At 36.6% G+C, this 22339-nt stretch overlaps 1 protein-coding gene and 1 pseudogene across 34 annotated transcripts in view; one reads left to right on the plus strand and one right to left on the minus strand.

The window, feature by feature from the left end:
• The window catches only part of PEAK1 (pseudopodium enriched atypical kinase 1), a 320261-nt gene that overhangs the window by 98809 nt on the left and 199113 nt on the right, over positions 1–22339 (minus strand). For 3 of the 34 annotated variants that reach the window (XM_011522039.3, XM_011522037.3, XM_011522035.3), the window contains one exon: positions 10327–10422. The exons of the other annotated variants lie outside the window; for them this stretch is intronic. The gene's annotated coding sequence lies outside the window, so the exon portion shown is untranslated. The remainder of the gene's footprint in view (positions 1–10326; positions 10423–22339) is intronic. 34 annotated transcript variants of the gene reach the window in all.
• Positions 5445–6153, plus strand: HMGN1P27 (high mobility group nucleosome binding domain 1 pseudogene 27; annotated as a pseudogene).

Raw genomic sequence — 22339 nt, forward strand, 5'->3', positions numbered from 1 at the left:
AGAGAGAACACCATGAAAGCCTGGAAGGATTAAACTGTTGAAGATGACATTGTTGTTACAGAAAAAGTTGTGAAAGCCATCAAGCCCCAAACAATAAATTCCTCTGGAAAACTCTGTGTCCACATGTTGTACATGACTTCAAGGGATTTATGACAGAGTTAATCAAAGAAATCATGACAGAGACTGCGGATATGGCAAAAATAGTGTAGGGTGTGTGTGTGTAAAAGGTGTCGAGATATGGCTCTTGGAGACACTGAAGAGCTAATATACCTCACATCAGAAGAATTTACGGAAGATGACTTGATGGAGATGACTGCTTCCAAACCAGCGCCAGACAATGAAGATGAAGATGTAGAAGAAGCAGTGCCAGAAAACAGATTGAGGTTAGACAATCCAGTAGAAGGATTCTGACGATTCAAGACTGCTATTGACTTCTTTTACAACATGGACCCTTCTCTATGATACAGGCACTAAACTAAAGCAAACAATGGAAGAAAGATTGGTACTGTATGGAAACATTTTTAGAGAAATAAAATAGCAAAAAAATTCAGACAAATTACAATATATTTCCATAAAGTTACATCAAGTGGGCCTATCTTTCCTGCCTATTTCCACCTGTTCAGTCTCTTCTGCCTCTGTCACCCTTGAGATAGCAAAACCAACCCTTCTTCTTCCTCCTCCTCGGACTACTCAACGTGAAGACAAGATGAAGGCCTTTATGATGATCCACTTTCACTTAGTCAATAGTAAATATATTCTCTTCCTTATGATTTTCTTAATAGCATTTTTTCTCCAGCTTACTTTATTGTAAGAATATAGTATATCGTACATATAGAATACAAAATAAGTGTTAATCAACTGTTTATATTATTGATAAGGCTTATGGTCAACAGTGGTCAGGTTTTTGAGGAGTCAAAAGTTATATGCAGATTTTTGACTGTGTGTGGGGTCAGCATCCCAACCTCTACATTGTTCAAGGGTCAACTGTACATTCTAAAATTCACTACTCAATGTATGGTCTGTAGCCCCAGACCTACTGAATCATAATCTACATTTTTACAAGATGCCCAGGTACTTTATAAACATATTAAAGTTTAAGAAGCACTCTACTGAAAACCACCAAGTTTTATCAAACTGTGAATATAGCATAGTAGATTCACATTTTACAGTTTAAAAGTCCCCTCAATTTGAAAACCATATTCAATATCTAAAAGGCTTTTGTTTATTTATTTTGAAAATCTACTCATTTCAGAACTACTGACAACAAAATTAGAGGAGGAGATAAACTGAATAAAGGGCATATTCAATAGAAACTTTAATGTTAGCAGGTGATTGTTTCATGTTTGAAAGATCTTCCATTAGGGTCAAACGTGCTTCATGTCATTCTGCTTGGTAGGGAAATGGTTAAATTTCTTCTTTCTTTCTATATTTTTCCTTCTAACTAATTTTAGGTAGTACATATACATATAGACTCATACTTTACCATAACTTACCTCTGGAGTAAAATATATTATTTAAAAAATTTCTTCATATACTGTGATGTGAGCTCTTTATCAACTATGTAGATGCTACCAAATGTTTTAGCATTTCTCCTCAGATTTACATGTCATACACTAAATGCATCAAGTTGAGTTCAAGCAACTCAAGACTAATGTTATTGATTTCAGGGAACAGATTAGTAAAAAGGGGTTCTACCACTCCATGTCTTTCCAACTTTAAGACATATATCAACCCTTAGTTTTACTGTATAAATTGATAAGCCTTTGTGTCTTTTTTTTTTTTTTTTTTTTTTTGAGATGGAGTCTAACTCTGTCACCCAGGCTGGAGTGCAGTGTTGAAATCTCAGCTCACTGCAAGCTCCACCTCCCGGGTTCACGCCATTCTCCTGCCTCCGCCTCCCGAGTACCTGGGACTACAGGCACCCGCCACCACACCTGGCTATTTTTTTTGTATTTTTAGTAGAGATGGGGTTTCATCGTGTTAGCCAGGATGGTCTTGATCTCCTGACCTCGTGATCCTCCTGCCTCGGCCTCCCAAAGTACTGGGATTACAGGCATGAGCCACTGCGCCTGGCCCAAGCCTTTGTGTCTTAATGCCACTGTTTTCCTATTTCCAAACATCACAGGCCAAAGTGGCTAATCAAGAAACTAAAGATTTACCTCATAAAAAAATGATCATTTCTGCCTCCCTTTGATTAGTCAAAGGCTCTTTCTAGTGTTGATATGCTAGATATACTGCTTGAAGTTCTAGCATATCCCAAATATTGCTTTTTCATCATTTTGGTATATCATATGGGAAAAGCTAATTCAGAGTTTGTTTTTATGTTAATATATTCATGGCCACATTCCAAGGAATGCCTAGCACCTTGGAATACAGCCTGTCACTTAGCTAGGGGCATAAATGACTAACTCAGCATTGTATCTTAAAGACAGAAGCAGAAGCAGAATCTCCAACCCTAACTGTGTTAGATGTCATACTTAGATCACACTGGCTCCCTTTGTGCATCTGATTCATCTGCTTTTTGTCAAACTTGGTATTCATTTTAGACTCCAATATTGTTCCAAATCAGGCTAAGCTTTAATATTAAAGCAGTCTTCTAGTTAAAGCTGCCTGTAATCTAAGACTGGGTGCAGTCTTAGATGCAGTTTCACATTTAGTCTTTTGGATGCAGTTTCACATTTAGCTATTTAAAACCTCTATGTTCAAGAAGCATCATGTTTTCTGCCTGGATTTGTGGGGTGTTGCTCAATTGCGCACCTTGCAATTTAGCACTAGATTATTTCTCAGATCCTTGAACAACATGGGTTAGGAGTGCCGACCCCTCATGTGATAAAAAATCTGCATATAACTTTTGACTACCACAGAACCTAACTACTAATAGCCTGCTGCTGACCAGAAGCCTTACTCATAACATACAGTTGATTAACACATATTTTGTACATTGTATGTACTATATACTGTATTTTTACAAAAAAGTAAACTAGAGAAAGGAAAATGTTATTAAGAAAATCATCTTTGGGGCTGGGTGCGGTGGCTCACACCTCCTGTAATCCCAGCACTTTGGGAATCCGAGGTGGGCGGATCACGAGGTCAGGAGATCGAGACCATCCTGGTTAACACGGTGAAACCCCGTCTCTACTAAAAAAAATAAAAAAAAAATAGCTGGGCATGGTGGTAGGTGCCTGTAGTCCCAGCTACTCAGGAGGCTGAGGCAGGAGAATGATGCGAACCCGGAGGCGGAGCTTGCAGTGAGCCGAGATCATGCCACTGCACTCCAGCCTAGGTGACAGAGTGAGACTCCATCTCAAAAAAAAAAAATGAAAATCATCTTTGGGAGGCCGAGGTGGGCAGACTGCTTGAGCTCAGGAGTTCAAGAGCAGCCTAGGCAACATGGCAAAACCCTGTCTCTACCAAAAATACAAAAATTACCTGGGTGTGGCAGTGCGCACCTGTAGTCCCAGCTACTTGGTAGGCTGAGGTGGGAGGATGGCTTAAGCCCAAGAGGCAGAGATTGCAGTGAGCTATGATCATACCATTGCACTCCAGCCTGGGCGACAGAGCCAGACCCTGTCTCAGAAAAAAAAAAAAAAAAGAAAAACATAAAAGAAAATGTATTTATGCATTAAGTGAAAGTGGATCATTGTAAGGGTCTTCATCCTCATTGTCTTAATGTTGAGTAGGCTGAGGAGGAGGAAGAAGAGTAGGGGTTGGTTTTGGTGTCTGAAGAGTGGCACAGGCAGAAGAGGAGGTGGAAGGGGACGTAAGAGAGGCAGGCACTCACAGCATAACTTTTATTGAAAAAAATCTGCATGTAAGTGGACCCACGCCGTTCAAACTGGTATTGTTCAATAGTCAATAAAACATAGAGACAATAAAAATCTGGGAAATAGTAGCTGTGAAAATTTAAAAATCATTTATATTATTGCTTGAATAGGTAGGCAAAGCAGAATACAATGATGAAGTTTTATTCTTGTGTTTTAAAATCAAGAGCACAACCCAAAGAATAAACACAATTTTGATGAAGAGCAAAATTGGAGGACTGACATTACCCAACTTCAAGACATACTATAAAGCTACAGTAATCAAGACAGTATGATACTGGCAAAAGAACAGACAAATAGATCAATGGAACAGAACAGATAGACCAGAAACAGATCCATACAAATACAGTCAATTGATCTGACAAAGGAAATTCAGTGGAGAAAGCATAGCCTTTTTCACAAATGGTACTGAAACAACTGGACATCCAAAAAAAAAAAAAAAATCTCAATACAGATACTATATCCTTCACAGAAATTAACTCCCAGTGAATCAATGGCCTCAATGTAAAACATAAAACAATAAAACTCCTAAATGATAACATAGGAGAAAATATAGATGATGGTGAGTTTAGTGATGACTTTTTAGATTTGACACCAAAGGCATGATCCTTGACAGAAAGCACTGGTAAGCTGAACCTCATTAAAATTAAAAACGTCTACTCTGCAAAAGATACTGTGAAGAAAATGAGAACACAAGCCACATAGTGATACGAAATATTTGCAACACGTATCTGCAAAGGGACTGTTATTCAAAATACAAAAATAACTCTTAATTCTCAACAATAAGAAAATGAACAACCAATTTAAAAAGTGTGCAAAAGACCTGAAGAAACAGATAAAGACAATATACAGATAGCAAATAAAAAGATGCACCACATCACGTTATTAGGGAATTGCAAATTAAAACAGTAAGGTACCACTACACACCTATTAGAATGTATAAAATCTACAATAGTGACAAAACCAAATGACAGCAAGGATATGGAGCAACAGAAACTTATCCATTGCTATCGGGAATGCAAAATGGTACAGACCCTTTGGAAGACAGTATGGCAGTTTCTTGAAAAACTAAACATAACTCTTACCATACAATCCAGCAATCATACTTCTTGGCATTTACCCAAAAGAGCTGAAAACTTATGTCCAAACAAAACCTGCATGTAAGTGTTTATAGGAGCAGCTTGGGTGGTGAGAGGAGCAGCAGTGTCCAGGCAGCCCAGCTTCACAAAGGCTCTCATTGCGCCGCAGCCTGCAGGCACCAGGTCATACCCTCCCCACTGCCAAGATGCCCAACTGAAGGAAGAGCCCAAGGAGATTGGCCTGGTGGTCAGCTAAATCTGCTCCTGCAAAAGTGGAAAGGAAGCCAATCCCAGCACTTTGGGAGGCCGAGGCAGGTGAATCACAAGGTCAGGAGTTTAAGACCAGCCTGGCAACATGGTGAAACCCCGTCTCTTCTAAAAATACAAAAAAATTAGCTTGGAGTAGTGGTGAGCACCTGTAATCCCAGCTACTCAGGAGGCTGAGGCAGGAGAATTGCTTGAACCCAGGAGGCAGAGGTTGCAGTAAGCTGAGATTGTGCCACTGCACTCCAGCCCCGGCAACAGAGTGAGACTCTGTCCAAAAAAAAAGGCAGCAGGAAAGGACAAATCTTCAGACAAAAAAGTTCAAAAAAAGGGAAAAGGGGAACAAAGGGAAAACAGGCCAAAGTGGCTAATCAAGAAATTAAAGAAGATTTACGTGCAGAAAATGGAAAGACTAAAAACGAGGCATGTCCAGCCTTTGATGAAGCCAGAGAGAAAGAAGCCAAGTCTGATTAATATCTTATAACATGTCTTATCAGTGGTCACTATTTCTCTTCTTGTACAATTCAGAGGAATATTTTTATCAACTATTTTGTAAGTGCAAGTTTTTTTAGTAGCTCTAGACACATTTTCAAGAAGCATGGAATCCCATCTCATCCCATTTTTTTTTTAAGATCAAATGCCTTTTTTTAAAAAAAAAAAAAAAGAAGTTAAATAATTTGCTAGTTTTTGGTACAACAGAAGATGGTGTAGGATATTGAGTTATGGGAGGCTCTGACTGTCTTGGGTTTCAGCTTAACATTCCATAGATGAAGGGTTAGTTTTAGGATATAGTTATATCCTATAATACAAAGCATACTAACTGGCAATATGGAGCCACAGTTCTGCATTTAATCTCTTGAACATTTTAAATTACTCCTATTCCCATGTTGTTTTATAGCAGAATTGATTCCTAAAGAAAAATACTCCTGGCTCATGGCTCTCCTTATCAGAATTGTGTGCACTCTGTAACATCTTTGGTTGTGGCAGTCCTGTTTCCCTAATAACTGTTAATGTGCTGTGAAAGATGAAAACTTTGAGTATATAGTGTATATGCTATTAAATTGTGAATTGGTAGGATGTATGTAACAGCTTATGAACATGTGAAGATGCTTGATAGCCAGTACTTGATAGCCATGTAAGGAAACTGCCTCCAAATTTTAAGCTGGGAAGTCACTGGAATAACTTTATTATTAATTATTTTTTATTTTTTTTATTATACTTTAAGTTTTAGGGTACATGTGCACATTGTGCAGGTTAGTTACATATGTATACATGTGCCATGCTGGTGCGCTGCACCCACTAACTCGTCATCTAGCATTAGGTATATCTCCCAATGCTATCCCTCCCCCCTCCCCCCACCCCATCACAGTCCCCAGAGTGTGATATTCCCCTTCCTGTGTCCATGTGATCTCATTGTTCAATTCCCACCTATGAGTGAGAATATGCGGTGTTTGGTTTTTTGTTCTTGCGATAGTTTACTGAGAATGATGATTTCCAATTTCATCCATGTCCCTACAAAGGACATGAACTCATCATTTTTTATGGCTGCATAGTATTCCATGGTGTATATGTGCCACATTTTCTTAATCCAGTCTATCATTGTTGGACATTTGGGTTCGTTCCAAGTCTTTGCTATTGTGAATAATGCCGCAATAAACATACATGTGCATGTGTCTTTATAGCAGCATGATTTATAGTCCTTTGGGTATATACCCAGTAATGGGATGGCTGGGTCAAATGGTATTTCTAGTTCTAGAGCCCTGAGGAATCGCCACACTGACTTCCACAATGGTTGAACTAGTTTACAGTCCCACCAACAGTGTAAAAGTGTTCCTATTTCTCCACATCCTCTCCAGCACCTGTTGTTTCCTGACTTTTTAATGATTGCCATTCTAACTGGTGTGAGATGGTATCTCATAGTGGTTTTGATTTGCATTTCTCTGATAGCCAGTGATGATGAGCATTTTTTCATGTGTTTTTTGGCTGCATAAATGTCTTCTTTTGAGAAGTGTCTGTTCATGTCCTTCGCCCACTTTTTGATGGGGTTGTTTGTTTTTTTCTTGTAAATTTGTTTGAGTTCATTGTAGATTCTGGATATTAGCCCTTTGTCAGACGAGTAGGTTGCGAAAATTTTCTCCCATTTTGTAGGTTGCCTGTTCACTCTGATGGTAGTTTCTTTTGCTGTGCAGAAGCTCTTTAGTTTAATTAGATCGCATCACACTACCTGACTTCAAACTATACTACAAGGCTACAGTAACCAAAACAGCATGGTACTGGTACCAAAACAGAGATATAGATCAATGGAACAGAACAGAGCCCTCAGAAATAACGCCGCATACCTACAACTGTCTGATCTTTGACAAACCTGAGAAAAACAAGAAATGGGGAAAGGATTCCCTATTTAATAAATGGTGCTGGGAAAACTGGCTAGCCATAGGTAGAAAGCTGAAACTGGATCCCTTCCTTACACCTTATACAAAAATCAATTCAAGATGGATTAAAGACTTAAACGTTAGATCTAAAACCATAAAAACCCTAGAAGAAAACCCAGGCATTACCATTCAGGACATAGGCATGGGCAAGGACTTCATGTCTAAAACACCAAAAGCAATGGCAACAAAAGACAAAATAACTTTAAAAAAGAACTGCAACACATAAGCTTTTTAGATTCTTGGTACGTATGTTAAGAATTGTGTACAAATTGAGATATCTGTGGACTGGTCCTCAACACAACCAACAAAATCTCAATTATGAAAGGAAAAATGCTTACAGTAGTTTTAGTCATAATTGCTAAAACTTGAAGTAAGGAAAGTGAATGGACAAACTGTGGTATACCCATACAACAAATACTATCTAATGACAAAAATGAGTTACCAAGCCAAGAAAAGACAAAGACATAGAAGAACCTTGAATGCACATTATTAAGTGAAAGAGGCCAATCAATCTGAAAAGGCTAGATATTGTATGATTCTAAATATATGACATTCTGGAAAATGCAAAACCAAATGTTGAGATAGTAAAAAGATCAGTGGTTGCCAGGAATAAGGGGGAACGGAGGAATGAATAGGTGGAGCAGAGGGGAATTTTAGGGCAGTGAAACTATTCTATATGATACTATAATGGTGGATACATTACACAGTTGTCATTATACATTTGTCAAACCTCATAGAATGTACAACAAAAAGAGAAAATCCTTATGTAAACTATGGACTTCGGTTGATAAAGGGGTTCTAACAAGAAAACCATGTTTTACATTTCCAGTTAGGCTTCCAATTTTTCTTTCAAGACTCTCACAGTGCTCCTGCTCAGCTCCAGGCTCATACAGGTCTAGGAACAGGTTGGGCTAAAAACGGATCCATGCTACTCTGAAATAAGGGACAAGGCTCTGAGTGTGGCTTTTCCCCAAGACTTTCAACAGAGTTGGTGAGAAAATCCAACATTAAGCAAACTGTGCTTTGCATCTGCCCGTCAACTTAAATCTGTTGCTTTTATCTTTACAGCTACTATATACAGTGCTTCAGGTACTACTATGTATGACGCATCTTTAATTCAATACAATAATCTTGAGGGGCAGTAACTATCATCATTTTAGTACATTTTAATAAAATGGCGGATTGAAGATATTCAATTCCTTGTGCAATGCTATACCACTTTTAAGTAGTATGCTGGGATTTGAACCCAGGCCTGACTCATTACAAAGTCCCACTCAACTCTATGCAATCATGCTGTTTCTATAATCTTTGGTAACCACATATCTTCTCTAGTTTCTGATCTCAGGACATCCCATTCCTCTCTGTACTTGACCACTCCCTTGTCTAGAGTCACTAGTATCTTTGGGAAAACGATACCGTCACTCTCAGTATTGTTTCCACAGAACTTATATCAGTGAGGCCAGCAACTTCCTCTTAGGGCGAATATTATGTTCATCTTTTCCTCTACTTTCTTAATTACAATGCTTACATTAACTAGAAGAACTATGAATTCTAGGCAATGTTGTATAGGGAAAAAACACCATTCTTTCTGCCAAAGTAAAAAAGCTAGGAAAATGAAACAAAAAAACCAATCTTCTATTTAGAATAAAACAATATAAAATGATGGGTTATAAAACAGCTAAAGCCTAATGTGTGAAATGTGTGAAAATACCTGGTTTTGGTAAGACAGAAATACTTAACTATAGAGAACTAACTCACTGGTGAAAAACTGAAAGAATGGCCTAAGAAAAATAGGAAGTCATGACCAATTATTAAATAATAATATTTGTCTTTACCACCTCCATTACTGCTTTGTATAGCAGCAATAAAACATAGATGTTATCTAAAGGGTTTCTTTCCATTGTACTAATTTTTGAAGGACTATCTCCAGTCTGTTCTTAACTATTTTTGGAAGTTAGGGAAGATTTGTCTACAGACTAGCAAGTAAACTGACAGTATAGATTCAACTACTTACTGGCATAATGGAAAGCCAGGAAATGAGTGTTGAAAAAAGTTCTATACAAAGAAAATTGAAACCAGATCTAAAAAAGTCTAGTCTAAGATAACCCTTTTATGTCTCTTTTTTAATATAAAAGAAAAAAATTGTTTGTGACATATAAGAGAGGATATAGAAAGTCCAAGATTTCCATATATGTACCTTCAGCTATTGAGTCTAAACACTAGCAAACGGAGATTTTCAAAGTAACCCGAATGAAGTCAAGACACTGCATCCATTTTATCCTGGGCTTATTTCTTTATCCTTCAGGAAAAGATGTCTTTTATACCAGAAACTATCAAACAAGCTAACAGATGGCAAGGGCACTGAATCAAGTCTAATTTGGGTTGAATTCAAATTTGATTATCTAGAGACATGAAAGCAATATACCTATATTAGCATCAGATGTGTAATGCTGATAAAAATGTTATGGAAGTATGATACAGCAGAGAACTTTCTGGACTTAAAAGATCCCTTTGGGCTAACTAGTTAGAAAACTCTGGCAAAGTCACAAATTCCTTCTGCCTCAGGATCCTTTACCTGCACAATGGGATGATAATAACTGGTCTTCCTTTCTGTGAGATGCTGAGAGGATACAATGGAATATTTTTAAAATTTTTTCTTCACTGGGTGTGGTAGGCAGAATAATGACCCCACAAAGATGTCCAAATCCCCAGAACTTGTGAAATTGTTACCTTATATGGATTCTCCCTTAGAGCCTTCTGAAGGAATGCAGACCTGCCAAAACCTTGATTCTAGCCCAGTGAAACTTATTTCATATTTCCGGCCTCCTGAATTCCAAGATAATAAATGTATTGTTTTAAACAATTACGTTTATGACAATTTGTTACAGCAGTAATAAGAAACTAACACACTGAGTTTGGTCTCAGCTCTGACACTTTCCCTTTCTATGTATCCCTGGGCCAGTTACTTATGTCTTTGAACTTTAGTTTCCTCATCTATCAAATAAGAATTAACAATAGCAACTACCAGTTGTTACAGAGATCAAATAGGATAACTAAGTGCTATAGCATAAGTGATTAAAAATGGTAACTATCCTTATATTTACTTCTTATGTTACACTAAGGCAATATAATGCAATTATTTTTACACAACCTACATTCAACTTATAGTTTCCATATATACCAGAGATGTATATTAAAGCTTCTATCACTAAAGTTATTGGTAATATATTGATGGACAAGTCATTAGTTTGTTCTTGCAGATCATAAAGTTGAAGTTCTTTTAGATCTCAAAGTTCCCAAAGGGAAGAAGCAATATATATGTAATTCATTTGAAACCCAGCATTTTAAATCCAGTAAAAAGTCCATTTTAAATCCAGTAAAAAGTCAAGACTCTACACTGATTTTGTCCTTAGATTACCTCCATATCCTTCAGGAAAAAGTGTCTTTTAAACCAGAAAACTTTTGATGACCAAAGATAAAATTTAAATAGGAATCTGAAGGAATAGGAAGAGAAATCATTGATTAAGAAAATAAATTCAGGCTGGGCGCAGTGGCTCACGCCTGTAATCCCAACACTTTGGGAGGCAGAGGTGGGCAGATCACCTGAGGTCAGGAGTTTGAGATCAGACTGGCCAACATGGTGAAACCCCATCTCTAGTAAAAATACAAAAATCAGCCAGGTATGGTGACAGGTACCTGTAATCCCAGCTACTCAGGAGGCTGAGGCAGGAGAATGGCTTGAACCTGGGAGGTGGAGGATGCAGTGAACCGAGGCTGCACCAATGCATTCTGGCCTTGTGTGCTCAGGGCGACAGAGCAAGTCTCTGTCTCAAAAAACAAAAACAAAATTCACAAGGAAGTTTAATGATTTGGGTTTTTAGCAATATTCAGCTAGTTTATGTCAGGAATGATTATCTCCAGGGTTTTCTACTTCTAGATCTGTGCTATTTTATTACAGTAGAGATCAGCAAACTATGTCCCATGGGTAAAATCTGGTCTGCCATCTCTTTTTGTAAAGAAAGTTTTATTAAAACAGGCAAACACATCCATTCACATACTGCCTATACCTGCTTTTGTGCTACAAAGGCAAACTGAGTAGTTGCAACAGAGACTATGCCCTGTAAAACCTAAAGTACTTAAAATTGGCCCATATACAAGAAGTATACTGTCCCTAGTGTTACAGCATATTACTTCGCAAGGCATGTAAGCTTATTTTATCTTATAAGGTGTTTCAAAACAATAGATTTTTAAAATGAACTTTCAGCAAACTATTAAGTTTACACAAATAAAGGAATACTGTGGCTTGATGTACCATATAATATTAAACATGGATGAAATTCTGGGTAGTACAGGTTCTACGGCTCCACTAAGATACCATGGAGGTGAGTTCAATTCTGGCTAAATAATGTTGATTTATTAACAGCAAAATCACTCAGCATACAAATGCTGAGCAAAATAAAATAATGACTTATGACTGCTATAATTATTATTCAATAAAAGTGACTGTAGGCCAGGCACGGCAGTTCACGCCTGTAATCCCAGCACTTTGGGAGGCCGAGGTGGGTCGATCATCTGAGGTCAGGAGTTTGAGACCAGCTGGCCAATGTGGTGAAACCCCGTCTCTACTAAAAATACAAACATTAGCCAGGCATGGTGGCAGGCACCTGTAATCTCAGCTACTCAGGAGGCTGAGGCAGGAGAATTATTTGAACCCGGGAGGCACAGGTTGCAGTGAGCCGAGATCACGCCACTGCACTCCAGCCTGGGAGAAAAGAGCGAAACTCCATCTCAAAAAAAAAAAAAAAAAAAAAAAGTGACTGTAAAGATGTTTGATCATAATTTATATTCAAAATTTATCATGATTAAAAATGCAAAATACTGTTTCCTTCTCTGGTGTTTTCATAAAACATTTATTCATTATTATTTACTGAGTTCCTCATCTTATCCTTTTATAAGACTCATACATTATGTTTTCTTTATGATCAAGTATGGGAAAGAACTAATAACTATTGGATATGAAGATGTTCTAGAAACTAAAATATATAATCATTGAATTTTCAAAATAAACTTATAAAGAAAGATTTTTCATTTCCATTTTATAGATGAAGAAACAGACTCAGGGAAAGTGAACATTCCCTCCAAGGTTAAGCTATTAAAGCCATTAGGGTGCCTAAGCTGGGAATTCAGCCCAGGTTTTTTAGTGGCCAAGGTTCTCTTTTTAGTACTTTTCCTAATTCATAATATCTCAGATTCAATGACCTCTTTGGTATATTTGGTATAGAACTGTTGGTCCAGTTAACTACTTGTTCAAGTTATTTGGATTTAAAGCTCCTTTTGAGAAAATAAAAAATTAGCCTTGCTTACTTGGGGAAGTGGAATAGCCCTAACTTTCGGAAAAAAGGTAAGTCAGTCTCCTAAATTTTAAAATAAATATCAACTCTGCTATTTATACAATTGTGTCATCTAAAGCACATGGATCTCCTCTGGACTCAACAAGACAAAATACAGACATACCGGAGACTCATAACAGAATTTGATAAAGTTTTATTCAATCAATTTTCTTTCTAAAGTTTGCTTGTTCCTATTCAACATAGGCCAAAGGACATTTTATTTATCTGCTCCCTTCACTAAACTCTATACTTGTATGTAGGTCATCTATAAACAACAAACCAGGGCAATATTATCTCAAAAGTCCTATGAAAAAGTCATAAATTAATTCAGATTTAATGTTATGAGCCTGGCTTTTTATAGAGTGATATGAGAAACATCTCATCAGAGAGCATTTCTAGCTCTTTTACAAAACCCCAGCTTGAGATATCTGAATTCTTATACCTGATGTCTCTTATATAAAGATCAATGTAATACCTCCTAAAGTTCAGTGTTAGCAAAAGTGAATTTTTCATTTATTAGCAATAAACATCTTTTTAAAGGAACACATAAGCTTGAAATCTGAAAAAAAAATCTTTTGAATAAAGAAAATTCTGAAAGATCATAATTCCCTAAGATGAATGTATTCTGAAAGCAGTATGTTTGCAGTCAGAAAAGACTGAAATCCAATTAACTGGAACCCTTCATTAACTGGAATAATGTTCTATGCAATGCTTTTGAGAAAAGGAAATAGAAAAAGACATGCAAAAATTAGGCTTTGGGAGAATCAAGGTAAAATAAAAAATGGTCCCTATACACAAAGAAATTAGCCTAGTAGGGGAGTAGAAATTTATACATAAAATGACAAAACACAGAAAATGATAATTAGGACCCTAAGATTTACAGATAAAGAGTTCTGGGAGTTCAGAGATCATTTCTACATGGCTTCCAGTAGAAAAAATAAAGGTTTTGAAAACAGATGGCAGCCGGACGCGGTGGCTCATGACTGTAATCCCAGCACTTTAGGAGGCCGAGGTGGGTGATCACGAAGACACGAGTTCAAGACCAGCCTGGCCAAGATGGTGAAACCCCATCTCTACTAAAACTACAAAAATTAGCCAAGTGTGGTAGCAGTTGCCTGTAATTCCATCTACTTGGGCAGCTGAGGCAGGAGACTCGCTTGAACCTAGGTGGCAGAGGGTGCAGTGAGCCGAGATCGCATCACTGCACTCCAGCCTGGGTGACAGAGTGAGACTCTGTCTCAAAAAAACAAAAACAAAAACAAAAAATAGGTGGCACAAACCTGGGCTTACATGATGAACAGGATTTATTTATTTTCCTTCTTGTTTATTAAGACATTATTTACATACAATAAAATTCACCAATTTTAAGTGTACAGTTTGATAATTTTTATTATTTGTATACAATTGTATAACCAACATAACAATGAAGATATAGAACAATTCCCTCACTCAAAAAGTGTCCTTGTGTCCCTTTGCACTTGATCCCTTCTCCCTAACTCCTGGCCTCAATAACCACTTTAATCTGCTGTCAGTCACTATTGCTATTCCTTTTCTAGAATTTCATATAAATAGAATTATATACTACATAGTAGTCATGTTTGACTTGCCTCACTTACCATGTTGTTTTTGAGATACATTAATCTTGTGTGTATCATTATTTCGCTCCTTTTTATGGCTAGTATGATTCCATGGAATGGATACACCACAATGTATTCTTCACCAGTTTTCAGCTATCATGAATAATATTATTATAAACATTCATGAACACATTCCTGGGTGGGCATGTGTTTTCATTTCAGTTGGGTAAATACCTTTGTATCAGTCCATTCCTATACCTCTATAAAGACATACCCAAGACTGGGTAATTTATAAAGAAAAGAGGTTTAGGCTGGGCGCGGTGGCTCACGTCTGTAATCCCAGTACTTTGGGAGGCTGAGGTGGGCAGATCATGAGGTCAGGAGATGGAGACCATCCTGGCTAACCCGGTGAAACCTCGTCTCTACTAAAAATACAAAAAAAAAAAAAATTAGCCGGGCATGGTGGCGGGCGCCTGTAGTCCCAGCTACTCGGGAGGCTGAGGCAGGAGAATGGCGTGAACCCAGGAGGCGGAACTTGCAGTGAGCCAAGATCGCACCACTACACTCCAGCCTAGGCGACAGAGCAAGACTCTGTCTCCAAAAAAAAAAAAAAGAAAAGAAAAGAGGTTTAATTGGCTTATAGTTCTGCAGGCCGTACAGGTTTCTGTTTCTAGGGAGGCCTCAGGAAACTTACAACTGTGGCAGAAGGCAAAAGGGAAGAAAGCACATATTCATATGGCCAGCAGGAGAGAGAGAAGTGAAGATGAAGGTGTCACACACTTTCCAACAACCAGATCTCTCATGATAACTCTATCATGAGAACGGCAATGGGGGAGTCCTCCGGCCTCATGATTCAATCACCTCCCACCAGGCCTCTAACACTGGGAATTACAATTCGACAAGAGAATTGGGTGGGGACACAGAACCAACCATATCAACCTTAAAATGGAATTGCTAGGTCAAATGGTGAGTGGCTTAACTTTATATGGTATTACCATATTGGTTTTCAAAGCTGTGTACCATTTTTGCATTCCCACTTGCGATATATGAGAATTCCAATTGCTCCATAACCTCATCAACACTTGGTATCGTTGGTCTTTTGCTAAAATTCACATTTGTCAGATAAGTGATGTTAAGTGTCCCCCCATGTGCTTACTGACCATTCATATATTTACTGTGAAGTTCATGTTCAAATCATTTGCCCATTTTAAATTGGGTTTGCTTACTGAGTTGTAAAACTTCATGTATTCTAGATACAAGATCTTTATCACATAGGCTTTGCAAAAATTTACTCCCAGTTTGTGGATTGCCTTTTTAATTGTCTTTCGAAAAGCTAGTTCCCAATTCTGATAAAGTATAGCTATCCCTCAGTGTCTCTGGGTGATTGGTTCTGGGACCCCTGAGGATGCTCAAGTCCTTTATATGAAATGGTACAGTAATTGCATATAACCTATGCACACTCTCGTATACTTTAAATCATCTCTAAATTACTTATAACACCTAATACAATGTAAATAATTGTTACACTGCACTGTTCAGGGAATGACAATAAAAAGTCTGTACATGTTCAGTACAGACACAACCAACCTTTTTCAGAAAAATATTTTCGATCTGTGGTTGGTTGGTTGAATCTACAGATGCAGAACCCATGGCTACAGAAGGCCCACTGGACATTTAAACGATAACTTCTTTTAGTTTGTGCTTTTGATTATCTTTTTCTTTTTTTGAGATGGAGTCTCGTTATGTTGCCCCTGCACCTAGCCAATGATCTTTTAAAGAAATTTTTGCCTAACACGTGTAACAAACACATTTCCCTATGGTTTCATGTACAAGTTTAATAGCTTTGTTACCTGTAGATTTATGATCAATTTTGAGATATATTTTATATTTATATTTATATTTATTTTTGTCAATACCAGACTGTTTTGATTACTACAGCTTTACAGTAAATCTTGAAATCAAGTAATTTGTCTTCCAACTTTATCAAAATTGTTTTAGCTATTTTAGGCTATCTTCCCATATAAATCTAAAAACAGCTTGTCCATATCTTCAAAATACCTGTTGCAATTCTGATTAAAACTGCAGTAAATTTATGTCTATTTGAGGAGGATTGCCATCTTAACAATTTTTGAGTCCTCTGATCAATGAAACAGTACACTGCTCCATTTATTTAGGTCTTCTTTAATTTCCCTTTGGAACGTTTTGTATTTTCAGTGTGTAAGTCTTTAATATGAGGGATCTTCGAAAAGTTCATGGAAAATGTGTATTATGGAAAAACTGCATGGATTTTCAAATTTTTCTGCACCAAATAAACTCATACTAAGTTGTGATAGCATGTCTGAATGGGATCTAGTTTAAGGTGTTAAGAAGAATAAGACATCAGTTTGAAAAGAGTCCCTATCAGAGAAACATTAATTCTGCTAAAATTGAAGCAAGAACAAACATCAACTTTATAGTAAAGCTTGGGTGGAAGCATGGTGAAGTAACTGATGCCTTATGAAAGTTTATGGGGTCAATGCCCCAAAGAAATCAGTAGTTTACAAATGGATAACTTCTTTTAAGAAGCGACAACACGATGCTGAAGATAAAGCCTGCACTGGCAGTCCATTCACACTTATTTGTGAGGAAAAAATTAATCTTGTTCTGCCCTAATTGAAAAGGACTCATGATTAGCAGCAGAAACAATAGCCAATACCATAGACATCTAATTAGTTCAGCTTACACAATTCTGGCTGAAAAATTAAAGTTGAGCAAACTTGCCACTCAACGGGGGCCAAAACCATTACTCCTAGATCAGCTGCGGACAAGAGCAGAGATTTTAATGGAAATTTTAAACAAGTAGGATTGAGATCCTGAAGCGTTTCTTCGAAGAATTGTACAGGAGATGAAACACGGCTTTACCAGTATGGTCTTAAAGACAAAGTACAGGCAGGGTGCGGGGGCTCACACCTGTAATCTCAGCACCTTGGGAGGCTGAAGCGGATCATTTGATCCTAGGAGTTCAAGATCAGCCTGGGCAACATAGGGAGACCCTGCCTATACAAAAAAGAAAAAAGAGCTGGGCATGGTGGCATGCACCTGCAGTCTTAGCTGCTCAGGAGGCTGAGGTGGAAGGATCACTTGAGTATGAGATGTCGAGGTGGCAGTGAGCTGTGCCACTGTACTCCAGCCTGGGTGACCAAGAGAGACTCTGTCTCAAAAAAAAAAAAAAAAAAAAAAAAAGGGCAGGTTGTGGGGAGCACAAAGTACAGTTGAAGCAATAGCTACCAAGATGTGGAAATGGTCCATTCAAAGCAAAAGTGGGCTGGTAGACAGCAAAGGTCATGACAACAGTTTTTTGGGATGCTCAAGGCATTTTGCTTGTTGACTTTCTGGAGGGCAAAAGAATGATAATATCTGATTATTATGAGTGTTTTGAGAAAGTTAGCCAAAGCTTTAGCAGAAAAATGCTTGGGAAAGCTTCACCAGAGAGTCCTCCACCACAGCAACGTTCCTGGTTCATTCTTCTCATTAAACAAGAGCAATGTTTTGACAGTTTTCATTAGGCATCTACCTCATAGTTCTGGTTTGGTTCCTTCCGACTTCTTTTGGTTTCCTAATCTTAAAAAAATTGGGCAACTCATTTTTATTCAGTTAATAATGTAAAATATACCGCATTGATGTGGTTAAATCCCCAGGACCCCAGGTTCTTTAGGGATAGACTAAATGGCTGATATCACTGCTTATAAAAGTGTTTTGAACTGGATGGAGCTTTTGTTAATAAATAAAGTTTATATATTTTTTCATTTCCACAAACTTTTGGAAGTCTCTTCATATTTTTTGTTAAATTTATCCTAAAAAGTTTGTTTTTTGATGCTACTGTAAATGGAATTGCTTAAAATTTCATTTTCCAAATGTGTATTGCAAATATATAGAAATGAAGTGATTTTTGTCTATTGACTGTGTATAATGCTACCTTGCTAAATTTATTTTAGTATCTTTTAAAAAATTCCTTAGCATTTTCTACATATATGATCACGTCATCTGGAAATAAGGCTAGTTTTAATTCTTCCTTTCCAATCTGTATGCCTTTATATTTTGCCTTATTGCACTGGATAAGTCTTCTAGAACAATGTTAAATAAAAGTGGTAAAAGTGGACATCCTTGCCTTGTTCCTGACATTAGATAGAAGGCACTGAGCTATTCATCATCAAAGATGAATATAATGCTATCTGTAGATTTTTTTGGTAGATAACCTCAATCAGGTTGAGGAAATTTCTTTATAATATTAAAGTTTCCCCATTACTTTGATACAAACATTTTATCATGACAAAATGTCATTTGACTTTGTCAAATGTTTTCTCGCATTTATTGAAATAATCATGTTTTTTTTTTGGTCTCCTATATTCTATTAAAATGGTGAATTATGTTGATAGATTGTCAGATGTTAAACCAACACTGCAACCCTGGGATGATTTTATTATTCATTTTATTTATTTAGTTAGCTAACATTTTGTTAAGGAATTATGCCTCTATTTTCATGAGGAACGTTGGTCTTTAATTCTCTTTTCTTTTTTTTTTTAAAGAGATGGGGTCTTACTATGTATCCTAGGCTGGAATACAGTGGTTATTCACAGGCACAATTATAGTGCACTAAAGCCTTGAACTTCTAAGCTCAAGTGATCCTCCTGCCTCAGCCTACTGAATAACTGGGACTAATGGCACACACCACTGCACTCAGGTATATTTTGCATTATTTTTTTTCCCAGTTTCTCTTTTCTGATTCACTAGACCAGAAAGGCTATATGTTTTTCCATGTGTGGGCCATTGCTACCCATTTCACACTGCACAGACTGCACTTAGTTCCTGGTTGCAAATGAGTGTGGGGGTGGTGTGGAGAAAGGAATGACATACTAAACTGCTCAAGGAAAGGTATGAAGGTAAGAAATCATATGAACAGTGAGATGCAGTGAGATGAACAATAATATAATTTGAAGTTAGGATTAAATCATGTAAATTGTTGAATACCAGCTAGATCTAAGAGTATGGCTAATGAAATATATATTTTAGACAGAAGGATAACATAATCATATCTATATTCTAAATTAAGATTAATATATGTATACTGTATATAATGAATTGCAATACAGACAATGACTGGAGGTAGGAGAATAATAAAGAGGCAGTTCCAGAAGTGCAGGTGGGAGGTAATGAGGTTTTAACTAGGCTAGCGGCAGAAAGAATAGAAAGGAAGGATTGGAAATGAGATGATTCAGCAATGATTGATGACCCCGAAATTTTTCAATAATCTGAATTATCACAAAAAGATAAGATTTTTAAAGTTATTTGGAGGGAGTGTACACATTGTTTATTTAATAGTGAGGGCTATTATACAAGCAAATCAATGTAAAATAATCCCTTTATATGTATGAGCATAGTTAATTTGGTAAACAACAGACAATTACATACTGTGATCATAAGGACTTTAGTATCAGTTACCATATAGCAGGTACTCTTTAGTCAGGATATACCTATATAGGTGCTAAATTAAAAATCAACCTTATATCTCAAATTTACTTCCTAGTAGAGTGTAACGCTGCCATAATTGCAAGCCTAATTATGGGGTTGTCCATACTGCAGTCCCATCAGTACTCATACACCAAAGGGTCGGGCCTGTGAAGACTGGAAAAAGAATAAAATATCTTTTGATTGAGATACTACAAGCAAAAATGACTTTCTGGCTACCATTACTGCAAAGAACAAAACTCAACTGAAAACAATATGTAGCAATTAAAAAGTACTCATTATCTTCAAAACACACTTTTTAACTAATTGAGACTCTAAATTCATTGGTTCTACTATAATTTTATACCCTAGTAATTTTATATGCTAAAATTCATTTATTAATAGGCCATACTTTAGTTGAATAGTTGTTAAATAATTTTATTTTGACTCATATGCAAATTTTTAAATACATATTGAGAAGCATGCAGACATCAACATTTCCTCCCTCTTCCACAAAAAGAATTTACAGATGTTAGCAATTTAGGTATGACAAAAGCAAAAGATACTTTGTTTTTCAAAGTGGGGCAAGACGGGAGGAAGAAAAGATGGTCATAATTAGCTAGTAGATAAAAGAGTAAAAGTGTGCTCCTCAATGAAAAGACTGTCAGTTAAAATTCTTCATGAGAAACTTGGTAAAAAATGATGCAGTCTTGGTAAAATTATTTGGTTTTAGAGAGTTGATTAACAAAAATGTACTATGCATTGAGGTTTGATTTACTTAAAAGTTGCAACTTTTACTCAGAAGCTTCAAGGCATTTCAGAAAAAATTAAATGTCTTTTAAAAGTTGCCTTCTTACCACTTAGATGTTACTTGACTACGCAATACATCCCTTTTATCAACATATGATTGGAGCTGATAGGTATATGAGAAATTACCTGAGATACCTTAGTAAAATTAATTATAATGTTGCCAATACAATAGCTCACTACAATTCATACAAGCTAAAATTCAAAAAAAAAAAAAAAAACGGTGAGGAACCAGTTAATCATCTATCAAACTGCTTTTAAAATAGGCAATATGTATCAAAACATCCCCAGGCAAAAAAAAATGAAACAAAGTAAAAGCAAACAAAGTACATTAAAAATTCACATGTCTTTTTATCTTGCAATTAATTTCTAGGAATTTAAAGGAAGGCAATGATATGTTCAATGATTAATCTATATGCACGAATAAGTTTCCTCAGATATTTCTTATGTGTTTTTTATGACAGGGAAATGACAATCTATATGTCTCATAGACAGTATAGCGATAGGAGAGAATATTATAGTTATTGAAATGGAGATGATTACTTAGTTGAAAAATGTTCATAAAATATTACTAGGTTTAAAAAGTAGATTAGAAACTAAATACAGACAATCCTAGTTTTGCTAAAAACAATGTATATAAACTTAATAAAAAAGATTGAAAGACTAATAAATAACAAGATATTGAATGGAAATGTATGTCTTCCAAGTATTCTACTATGAGGATAGAATTCATTTAATATTTATTGTTTTCATAATCAGAAAAAATAAGTTCGAGTTACTAAAAAACTGTAGCATATGCCCTTTACCCACATGCAATGTACTCTAGATATTCTAGGTCTGATGGTTATACATAAACTTTCCACTCTGTCATTGCAGTCGTGAATGAGCCCAGCAAAGATCATTTTAACATCTATCACGTGGTCAGTCACTTGGGAGGGATTATATAAAATTATTATGAGTTTGGGGACCTAAATGATTGCCCTGTTGTAGACCAACACTAAAGTAAGACTATGGATGTCCTAGGCAAGATTTCTTCTCTAGAGGTGAAAGGGTAGTGCATTAACCAGGTTTTATATTAAATGTCTTCATCATTTGTGAGCAGCCAGATGGTTGGTAATACGTGTAGATATTTTGAAACATAGGCTGGCTGATTTCAATTAGCTTTGAAGTGAGACAAATGATAGTATTGCTAAGCCCAGGGGTACTGAGAGAATATTTTCTTACAGATGAATATCCCATCAACTAGAGTTCCCATTTATATAATATAGCTAATAGGTTATCCTGGAACACATGTGCTGTTGGAAAAAATCTCTTTTATGAAGCACCTAACTGGGCAAACATTTTAGGCACACTATAAGAAAACCAGTTAATGTGAGAGAGAAAAAGGAATTTAAAAACCATTATAGCCTATATGCTTGTATTTCAGAATGTACTAAGAAGTTTTGTGAAGGATTTTGGCTGCAAATAAAAATACTTCTGTGATAA

This window comes from Homo sapiens, chromosome 15, assembly GCF_000001405.40.
Source record: "Homo sapiens chromosome 15, GRCh38.p14 Primary Assembly".
NCBI classification, from domain to species: Eukaryota; Metazoa; Chordata; class Mammalia; order Primates; family Hominidae; genus Homo; species Homo sapiens.